This window comes from Homo sapiens, chromosome 20 (assembly GCF_000001405.40).
Source record: "Homo sapiens chromosome 20, GRCh38.p14 Primary Assembly".
In the NCBI taxonomy this organism is placed as follows: Eukaryota; Metazoa; Chordata; class Mammalia; order Primates; family Hominidae; genus Homo; species Homo sapiens.
The window spans coordinates 45750899-45761132 of record NC_000020.11 but is presented as its reverse complement, the minus strand read 5'-3'; positions in this window follow the sequence as shown (position 1 = coordinate 45761132).

Genomic DNA, 10234 nt, shown 5'->3' with positions numbered 1-10234 from the left:
GAAGAATTGGGACTTAGCTTGGCCTGGCGACGAGCAGCCTGGGGAGGAGGAGAAAGGTCAGATGGGTCTGTAGAAAAAAGGAAGACTGGAAAGACTCAGCAACGCTTGGGGTTGGGACTGAGGGGACAGGCGGGAGGGAAAGAAGGAGGATTTGGGAGGAATCGTATTGGGAACAGAGACTAGGGAGGGAACGAAGTGTGAAAAATGCCCATTTTTCCACAAAAATTATTTAGGTCTTGTAGGATGGAGAAATCGAAAGTGCTGTTTTCTGGCCATTTAGAGCCATTGTCAAGTTTGTATTGGGGTCAAGTGGTGTTGCAGAAGAAAATAAGGTGCTTAGATTTTAGGTCAGGTGAAAGTTAAAGAGGTTTTAAGTTCTTAAGAACACAGGAAGGGAGAAGGAGGAGGAGGAATGGAGGGTGGAATGTTGCCCATAGTGAAGGAGGCAAGCCCAGAGAAAAGAGAGAGTAGAGACACGGAGGGAAGGGGTTCGGGGGTTCTTACCCTCCAGAAAAGTGGGAAAGGGGTTGGGGCACAGAGATACGAGGTCAGGGTGTGGAAATAAGGGATCGGGGCACAGAGATATAAGAGGTTGGGGTGTGGAAATAAGGGATCGGGTGCAGAGATATAAGAGGTTGGGGTACGGAAATAAGGGATCGGGGAGCAGAGATATAAGGGGTTGGGGCGTGGAAATAAGGGATTGGGGCACAGAGATATAAGGGGTTGGGGCGTGGAAATAAGGGATCGGGGTGCAGAGATATAAGGGGTTGGGGTACTTGCCCCTCCCCTAGAAAAGCAGGACTTGCCGCTAAGGGTGAAGGAGAAGGGGTTGGGGGTTTCTTGCCCCCCAGAAAGGCAAAGAAGAGGTAGAGACACAGAGAGAATGGGTTGGGGTACTTACCCTTCCCCAGAAAAGCGGGACTTGCCACTAAGGGTGAAGGACCAAGGCAGGTGTCCCTGCGTGGTCTGACACCTCTGAAACCTGGGTGAATAATCAGAGAGGCATCCCTGCAATGATTAAACACCAAGCGAAGGCTGCCTTCCCTAGTCTGCGACCGGCGCCGGAGTTTTGGGTCCACAGATAAAACGTGTCTCCTTTGTCTCTACCAGAAAATGAAAGGAATTGAAATTAAGAGAAGGGAGAGATTGAAGTGTGGCACCAAGATTGAAAGGAGAAAGAGGTTGAGGGATAGTGAGGGAGGTTGGAGGAGAGAGTAAAAAGAGGCTGCTTACCCAATTTAAAATTGGTGAGATGTTTCTTGGGCTGGTCGGTCTGAGGACCTGAGGTCATAGGTGGATCTTTCTCACGGAGCAAAGAGCAGGAGGACAGGGGATTGATCTCCCAAGGGAGGTCCCCCAATCCGAGTCACGGCACCAAATTTCATGCGCGTCCGTGTGAAGAGACCACCAAACAGGCTTTGTGTGAGCAACGTGGCTGTTTATTTCACCTGGGTGCAGGCGGGCTGAGTCTGAAAAGAGAGTCAGTGAAGGGAGATAAGGGTGGGGCCGTTTTATGGGATTTGGGTAGATAAAGGAAAATTACAGTCAAAGGGGAGTTGTTCTCTGGAGGGCAGAGTTGGGGGGTGGGTCACAAGGTGCTCAGTAGGGGAGCTTTTTGAGACAGGATGAGCCAGGAAAAGGAATTTCACAAGACAATGTCATCAGTTAAGGCAGGAACAGGCCATTTTCACTTCTTTTGTGGTGGAATGTCATCAGTTAAGGCAGGAACCGGCCATCTGGATGTGTATGTGCAGGTCACAGGGGATATGATGGCTTAGCTTGGGCTCAGAGGTCTGACACTTCTTATGTTACATTTTCCATTTTTTCATCCAATCAGTTTTAAAAGATCACAAAAGTAATGCTTGCTTGTTTTAAAAAAAATCAAAATATTTTTTCACCAACCTAATGCTTAAAAAAAAATGCAGGCTGGGTACGGTGGCTCATGTCTGTAATCCCAGCACTTTGGGAGGCTGAGGCGGGTGGATCACCTGAGGTCAGGAGTTTGAGACTAGCCTGGCCAACATGGTGAAACCCCGTCTCTACTAAAAATACAAAAATTGGCCGGGTGCGGTGGCTCAAGCCTGTAATCCCAGCACTTTGGGAGGCTGAGGTGGGTGGATCACGAGGTCAGGAGATTGAGACTATCCTGGCTAACAAGGTGAAACCCTGTCTCTACAAAAATTACAAAAAAAAAATTAGCCAGGTGTGGTGGTGGGTGCCTGTAGTCTTAGCTACTCAGGAGGCTGAGGCAGGAGAGTGGCGTGAAGCCGGGAGGCGGAGCTTGCAGTGAGCCGAGATTGCGCCACTGCACTCCAGCCTGGGTGACAGAGCCAGACTCTGTCTCAAAAACAAACAAACAAAAAAACCCCAAAAAACCCCCACAAAAATTAGCTGGGCTTGGTGGTGGGCGCCTGTAATTCCAGCTACTCTGGAGGCTGAGGCAGGAGAATTGCTTGAACCTGGGAGGCAGAGGTTGCGGTGAGCCGAGATCACGCTACTGCACTCCAGCCTGGGCAACAGAGTGAGACTCTGACTCAAAAAAAACAAAAAACAAAGACATCTGTAGAGTAACTTGGTATCTCAACCATGCCTGGCTGTGGGCTGCCAGGCAGGGCCTGAGAGTTCTCACCTAGGCTGGGCCCTGGTGCTAATGGCTGCCTGTTTCACAAGGGACTGCTTCATCTAAGCCTTTCTTTTTCAGGAAGAGGACACCCACCCTGGTACCTGGTCCCTGGCGAGAGGTGAGTGGTGGAGTGGGGTGCCCTGAGGGTTTCCTTCTTTAATTATAGAAAGGAAGCATGTAGCAGGGCAATTGTGTCCCAGGGCTGGAACCGGGGGTCAGAGGGCCCCTGCAAGACCTTGAGGACTGCAGTGCCAGATCGTATCTCAGCTACATGGAAGCCTGGGCTCTGGTGCCCATGAGCTCCAAGGCCTCCTGTGTCCTGCAGTGCCTCCTGGACTGGGGGGCGCCAAGGAGCCCAGAAATGCTTCTGCAATGGCCAGGGGTCTGTCTGTAAGAATGTCATCTTAAGTTCTTCCTCTTTTGAAACCTCTTCTCTCACAGCCCACCTGGCAGAGGCCTAGGGTCTTTGTTCATCTTCCATTTTTTTTTCTTGTAAACTTTCTGCTTACCTGTCTCTGGCTCCTATCCTTTTAATTTCTGGCACCCAGCCTGATCTCCCTAAGTAGTCTGGGCCTCACTTTTGTGTTTCAGACCACTAGGATGGTTCTGGCTATACCCAAAAGTGTTAAAATGATTTGTGGCACTGTCAAGACCACTGGGACAAATCCCCTTTGCCCAAGAATGTCTCTTTATTTGAGATATATGTATATATGTGTGTGTATATATATATCTGTATGTATATACACATATATATGCATGTATATATGCATATATATACAGATATATATATACATGTATATATGCATATATATACAGATATATATACATACATATGCATATATATACAGATATATATACATACATATGCATATATATACACATATATATATGCATACTTATATGTATATATATGCGTATATATACGCATATATATATATATGTTTTTGACACAGAGTCTTGCTCTGTTGCCCAGACTGGAGTGCAGTGGCCCAGTCTCGTCTCACTGCAAACTCTGCCCTCTGCCTCCTGGGTTCAAATGATTCTCCTGCCTCAGCCTCCCAAGTAGCAGGGATTACAGACATGCACCACCACATCTGGCTAATTTTTGTATTTTTAGTACAGACAGGGTTTCGCCATGTTGGCCAGGCTGGTCTCAAACTCCTGGCCTCAAGTGATCCACCTGCCTTGGCCTTGTGCTGGGACTACAGGCGAGAACTACTGTGCCAGCCAGATTTTTTTTTTTTTTTTTTTTTGGTATTGAGTTGTTTGAGTTTCTTATATATTTTTAATTCCTGTTGTTGCCTTTTTTTTGTAGAGACAGAGTCTTGCTATGATGCCCGGACTGGTCTCAAATTCTTGGCCTCAAGTGATCTTGCTGCCTCTGTCTCCCAAAGTGCTGGGATTATAGGTGTGAGCCACTGTGCATAGCCTAGTCCCTTGTTGATGAGGTAGTTTGGAAATATTTTCTTCCATCCTGTAGCTTGTCTTTTCTTTTTTGAGACAGGGTCTCACGCTGTCGCCCATGCTGGAATGCAGTGCTGCAATCATGGCTCACTGAAACCTCCACTTCCTGGGTTCAAGTGATTCTTGTGCCTCAGCCTCCCGAGTAGCTGGGATTACAGGTGTGCACCACCACATCTGGCTGATTTTTATATTTTTAGTGGAGACAGGGTTTCACCATGTTGCCCAGATTGGTCTCAAACTCTCCACCTCAGGTTCAGGTGATCTGCCTGCCTTGGCCTCCAAAGTGTGGGGATTATAGGGGATTAAAGGCAACTGGCCTTTGCCATGCAGAAATTTTTTTTTTTTTTTTTTTGAGATGAAGTCTTGCTTTTTTCCCCCAGTCTGGAGTGCAATGTCATGATCTCGGCTCACTGCAACCTCCACCTCCCAGGTTCAAGCGACTGTCCTGCCTCAGCCTCCCAAGTAGCTGGGATTATAGTTGTGTACCACCACACCCAGCTAATTTTTTGTATTTTAAGTAGAGATGGGGTTTCACCATGTTGGCCAGGCTGGTCTTGAACTCCTGACCTCAGGTGATCCACCTGCCTCAGCCTCCCAAAGTGCTGAGATTACAGGCGTGACCCACCGCGCCTGGCTGTAGAAACTTTTTAATGATGTAATCCCATTTGTTTGTTTTTTCTTCTGTTGCTTTTGCTTTTGAGGTCTTACCCAGAAAATCTTTCCCAAGACCAATGTCCTGACTAATGTTTTCTTCTAGTTTTGTAGTTTCAGGCATTAGATTTCAGTATTTAATCAATTTTTATTTGATTTTTGCATATGGTAAAAGATTGCAATCTAGTTTCATTCTTCTGCATATAGATATCCCGCTTTCTCGGCACCAATTATTAACAAGACTGTCCTTTCCCCAATATATGTTCTTGGCACCTTTGTCAAAAATGAGTTGTCTCAAAAAAATTAGCCGGGCATAGCGGCGTGCGCCTGTAGTCCCAGCTGCTGAGGAGGCTGAGGCAGGAAAATGGCGTGAACCCGGGAGGCAGAGCTTGCAGTGAGCTGAGTTCACGCCACTGCACTCCAGCCAGGGTGACCGAGCAAGACTCCGTCTCACAAAAAAAAAAAAAAAAAAAAAAAAAGAGTTGTCTATATGTGCATGCATTGATTTCTGGGTTTTCTATTCTGTTCCATTGGTCTATGTGTCTGTTTTTGTGCCAATACCATGCTGTTTTGGTTACTATAGCTTTGTTTTGGTTACTATAGCTTTGTTGTATAATTTGAATTCAGGTAGTGTGATACCTCCAGCTTTGTTGTTTTTGCCCAGGATTGCTTTAGCTATTCGGGGTCTTTTGTCGTTCCATACAAATTTTAGAATTTTTTTTTCCTGTTTATGTGAAGAATGCCATTGATATTTTAATAGAGATTGTATTGAATCTGAAGGTCACTTTGGATATTATGGGCATTTTAACAATATTAATTCTTCTGACCTATGAGCATGGGATATCTTTCCATTTTTTGGTGTACTCTTCAGTTTCTTTCATTAGTATTTTATAGTTTTCCTTGTGGAGATCTTCTAATTAATTTTGTCCTAGGTTTTTTTTTTTTGTAGCTATTGTAAAGGAGATTGCTTTATTGGTTTCTTTTTCAGATTGATTATTGTTAGCATATAGAAACACTACTGATTTTTGTATGTAGATTTTGTATCCTGCAATTAAACTAAATTTGTTGATTAGTTCTAAGAATTTTTTGGTGGGGTAGGTTTTTCTAAAAATAAGATCATGTCATGTGTTTCCAAGGCTAATTTGACTTCTTCCTTTCCAATTTGGATGCCCTTTATTTCTTTCTCTTGCCTAATTGCTCTGGCTAGGATTTCTAGTACTATGTTGAATAACAGTGGTGAAAGTGGCATCATTATCTTGTTTCAGACCTTAGTGGAAAGGGCTTTCCGTTTTTCCCCATTCCGTATGGTATTAGCTATGTGCTTGTCACTTATGGCCTTTATTGCATTGAGGTATGTTCTTTCTATATCCAATTTCTTGAGAATTTTATCATGAAGGGATGTTGAATTTTATCAAATGCTCTTTCACAATCTACTGAAATGATCATATGGCTCTTTTGATTCTGTCGATGGGGTGTATTACGCTTATTGATTTGTATATGTTGAACTATCCTTGCATCTGGGGATGAATCCCATTTGATCATGGTGAATGATCTTTTTTTTGAGACAGAGTCTCGCCCTGTTGCCCAGGCTGGAGTGTAGTGGCACGATCTTGGCTCATTGCAGCCTCCACCTCCTGGGTTCAAGCGATCCTTATGCCTTGGCCTCCTGAGTAGCTAGGATTACAGGCATGCGCCACCTCCCTGGCTAATTTTTGTATTTTTAGTACAGACAGGGTTTCGCCATGTTGGCCAGGCTGGTCTTGAACTCCTCGCCTCAAGTCATCCACCTGCCTTGGTCTCTTAGTCTCCCAAAGTGCTGGGATTACAGGCGTGAGCCACCATGCCTGGCCACAGGGTACTTCTTGCCTTGTAGAATGAGTTTGGAAGTATTCCCTCTTCAATTTTTTAGAATAATTTGAGTAGAATTTGTATTAATTCTTCTTCAAATATTTGGTAGAATTCAGCAGTAAAACCATCAGGTCCTATGCTTTTCTTTAAAGAGATACGTTTAATTTCTGCTTTCATCTCATTACTCATAGTTGGCCTGTTTAAGTTTTCTGTTTCTTTATGATTCAATTTTGGTAAGTTGTATGTGTCAAATAATTTATCTTTTTAGTTTTCCAATTTGTTGGTGTGTAGTTTTCCATAATAGCCTCTAATGATCCAGGCCGGATGCGGTGGCTCACGCCTGTAATCCTAGCACTTTGGAAGCCTGAGGCGAGTGGATCACCTGAGGTCGGGAGTTCAAGACCAGCCTGACCAACATGGAGAAACCCTGTCTCTACTAAAAATATAAAATTAGCTGGGTGTGGTGGCACATGCCTGTAATCCCAGCTACTCAGGAGGCTAAGGCAGGAGAATCGCTTGAACCCGGGAGGTGGAGGTTGCAGTGAGCTGAGATCGTGCCATTGCACTCCAGCCTGGGCAACAAGAGCAAAACTCCATCTCAGGGGAAAAAAAAAGTCTCTAGTGATTCTTTGTATTTCTGCGGTATCAGTTGTAATGTGTCCTTTTTCATCCCTGATTTTATTTATTTGGTCTTCATTTTTTTCTTGGTTAGTCTAGCTAAAGGTTTGCCAGTTTTGTTATCTTTCCAAAAAAACAACTTTTTGTTTTGTTTATCTTTTGTATTACAATTTTTTTTCTTCTCCCCACCACCTTTTTTTTTTTTTTTTTGAGACAAGATCTGGCTCTATCGCCCAGGCTGGAGTGCAGTGGTGCCATCTCGGCTCATGCAACCTCTGTCTCCTGGCTGAGGCCGGCATCCTACCTTAGCCTCCCAAGCAGCTGGGACTACAGGCATGTACCACCATGCCTTGCCAATTTTGTATTTTAAGTAGAGATGGAGTTTTGCCGTGTTGTCCAGGCTGGTCTTGAACTTGTGAACTCAAGCAATCCGCCTGTTTTGGCCTCCCAAAGTGCTGGGATTACAGGCATGAGCCACTGGACCTGGCCTTTTGTATTATTATTATTATTATTATTTTTTGAGGTGGAGTTTCGCTCTTGTTGCCCAGGCTGGAGTGCAATGGCATGATCTTGGCTCACTGCAACTTCTCCCTCTTGGGTTCAAGTGATTCTCCTGCCTCAGCCTCCCAAGTAGCTGGGACTACAGGCATGCGCCACCACACCTGGCTAATTTTGTATTTTTAGTAGAGATGGGGTTTCACCACGTTGGCCAGGCTGGTCTCGAATTCCTGACTTCAGGTGATCCACCCACCTTGGCCTCCCAAAGTGCTGGGATTACAGGTGTGAGCCATCGGGCCTGGCCATCTTTTGTATTTTTTTAATAGACAAGTTTTGCTGTGTTGCCCAGGCTGGTCTCAAACTCCTGGCCTCAAGTGATCCTCCTGCCTTGACCCCCTAAAGTTCTGGGATTATAGGCGTGAGTCACTACGCCTACTCTTTGGGGCTTTTTAAATGAGAAATCAGAATCTTCTTAAACCACTTTTAATTTCCATCTCATATGTAATGGGATCTTTTCCTTTCAGTTTCTCCAGTGGTAAGATATGACTCAGGGGAAGAGGCTAGAGTCAGAACCAAAATCTTTTCATTCTGTCTTTGGTTTGTACTCTGAGGTTTTGGTTTATATTTTTATCTTTGTTACTCTTCTATCTGTGACTTTCTCCTCAAAATATCTCACTTGAATTTAATGTGAAATCCACTTGGGTTTCTTGTGGATTTGTGTCCTGTATTAGTCCTTGGGTATGTGGTTTTCTATGAAGGTCTGCAATGCACATATATCTTTGGGCCTTTTTACTAATCTTTGTGGGTAATTATAAAATATTCCTTCAGCACTACAGACAGTACACACATACCTTTTTCTTAGATGCAAATATAGGATTGATTGAGAAAGAAACTTGGGCAATTACTCAAGTGCCCAGAAGAAATCTGAAAACTTGAGGCTAGAATGAACTTTGGGTCATCATTGTCGGTAATTCTTTGTCTCCAGAGAATATTTTACTTATATTAATTCTTTGGACTAGACTATAGTTTTGAAAGACTTAAAAAATTGCACTTGAATCTTGTTTATGTAACACTGTTTTTTACAGTAATCAGAGGAAGGAAAATCTTCAGAATCCATGAATAGGCACCATGACATTCAGGCCCAAGACACAGCATGGTCTGAGATTCTAGACTTTGCCTCAATACCTAGAAGCTACCAGAACATTCTTGTTTCCTTTGTCCCTTTTTTGCACAGGAGTAATTCCTGGAAGCAGAACTAGGTGACATCTTTAACACATACTTTTTGCTAATTCCCATGATTTCTCCTAGGATATGCCCATAATTCAGGATTAGGGGTTGCCAGTGTTGAGATCGAGCTAGAATACCCACAAGTGGCTTCACTCTGAGCTTCAGTTTATTCTACTGTTTATGGCCCTTAGAACACTGGCATAAGCTATTTATATCAATAGATTCATTTGTGAGGCTTAGTCCTTGACAAGAATATGAATAAGACAGAGAAGAAGGGAGTGGCCCTTCATGCTCTGAGAGTAGAGGTTCACTTTGGTTCAAGACTCATAGCTCTCAGCTGTAAAGTCACAATTTCCATATGGCTTGTAGCTAGGGCACTGAAGATATTTCCCTAGAATATGATCACTTTTGTGGGTTGAATGCCCTTTGATTTGGAGCAGGTGAAAGAATTTAATAATGATTATCTTGGTGCCACCTACATGCAAATCCCACTGAAGTCAGTGACAAAATACAGAAAGAAACTCAGTTTTGGCATGTCATGCCGAGGAGATATCAATAATGATTGCCTTTACATACACTGATGCATTACATGGATAGGTTGGTCCCTGCAGAGAGGTCATTTGCAGTATATGTTGGAAGAATCTAGAATGGGAGAGATGAATAAATTCAGACCAGAGCTGACATACAGAAAATTTTCAGTTAAAGTTTTATATATCTAATTAGTATGAAAGGTAAACCTGGGCAAGGAAATTAGAAAGAATTCAGAATTCAAAAATCTTTTAGAAATAATCCAATTTATTTTCTCAGAATAACTTTGGCATGATTTTTCATAGAGCATACTCCTTTTTCCTTGTTTCCTCCTTCTGTCATATTAAGGCCCTATTGACTTTGGTCCCTGTTAATGAATAAATAAATTTAGAGATTATTATGGCCATTGGTATCAATAAGGACCCAAACAATGGGTCCTTAACATCTCAGCAGAACTTCACAGCTCTCTTTAATACTAATATTCCTCCTGACCCATGCATCTATCCATAAAATATTAATGGGCAAACATAGTACTAGACTTTGAGAATATACAGATGAATAAAGTGATATCTCTGCTCTTGCGTGTAAGACCATTGTTTAGCTATTCTTTATAGTGGATACTAAACCATGATCCTTGTCTTCTCCTACTCTTCTGACATTCTCATAGCTTTCCATTTAACTGTGAAACAATAAGATGTTGAACACAATCTCAAAAAGCTGATGCCATCCTGGTAGTACTGAGATGCTGGTGGGGAGCTAGGAGCTCTGGATCCATGT